Raw genomic sequence first — 1,115 nt, 5'->3', positions numbered from 1 at the left:
CCTCTCAAGTAGCTAGGAATAGAGGTGCATGCCACCATGCCTGTCTAATTTATTTTTATTTTTATTTTTTGTAGAGATGGAATCTCTATGTTGCCCAGGCTGGTCTCAAACTCCTGGACTCAAGCAATGCTGCTCCTGCCTTGGCCTCCCAAAGTGTCAGGTTTACAGGTGTGAGCCACTGCTCCCATCCCCACCGTTCTACTTTCTGTTGCTATCATTTTCACTACTCTACCTCATAGAATTGCAATCATAGGCTGGGCACAGTAGCTCACACCTGTAATCCCAGCGCTTCGGGAGGCCGAGACGGGCGGATCATGAGGTCAGGAGTTCGAGACCAGCCTGGCCAATATGGTGAAACCCCATCTCTACTAAAAATACAAAAATTAGCAGGGTGTGGTGGTGTGTGCCTGTAATCCCAGCTACTTGGGAGGCTGAGGCAGGAGAAACGCTTGAACTCAGGAGGTGGAGGTTGCAGTGAGCCAAGATCATACCACTGCACTCCAGCCTGGGCAAGAGAGAGAGACTACATCTCAAAAAAAAAAAAAAAAAAAATTGCAATCATATAATATTTGTTTTTTTTTTTTTTTTGCTTATTTGTCAACATTTGGCTTATTTCACTTAGCATAATGTCATCAAGTTTCATCCATGTTATAGCATAGGTCAGAATTTCCTTCGTTTTAAGGATGAATAATATTCCATTGTATGTCTATGCTGCATTTTGCCTATTCATCCCTCAGTGGACACTTGGGTTGCTTCCATGTTTTAGCTATTGCGAATAATGCTACTACGAACATGTGTGTACAAATGTTCAAGACTCTGTTTTCATCCCTAAAAAACTAAAAACAGAACTGCCATATGATCTAATAATCCCAGTTCTGGGATATATTCAAAGGAATTGAAATCAATATGTTGGAGGGATATCTCCACACACAGAAAGACAAATACCACATGATCTCACTTATATGTGAAATCTAAAAAAGTTGAATTCATAGATGTAGAGAGTAGAAATGATGATTACCAGAGGCTTGGGAGAGCACTGGGGAGCAATGGAATGGGGAGTTTTGTCAAAAAGTACAAAGTTTTGGCTGCACAGAAAGAATAAGTTTTGAGATCTA

The sequence above is a fragment of the Homo sapiens genome, chromosome 7 (genome assembly GCF_000001405.40).
Source record: "Homo sapiens chromosome 7, GRCh38.p14 Primary Assembly".
NCBI classification, from domain to species: Eukaryota; Metazoa; Chordata; class Mammalia; order Primates; family Hominidae; genus Homo; species Homo sapiens.
The sequence above is the reverse complement of the archived record's forward strand: the minus strand, read 5'-3'. Positions refer to the sequence as shown.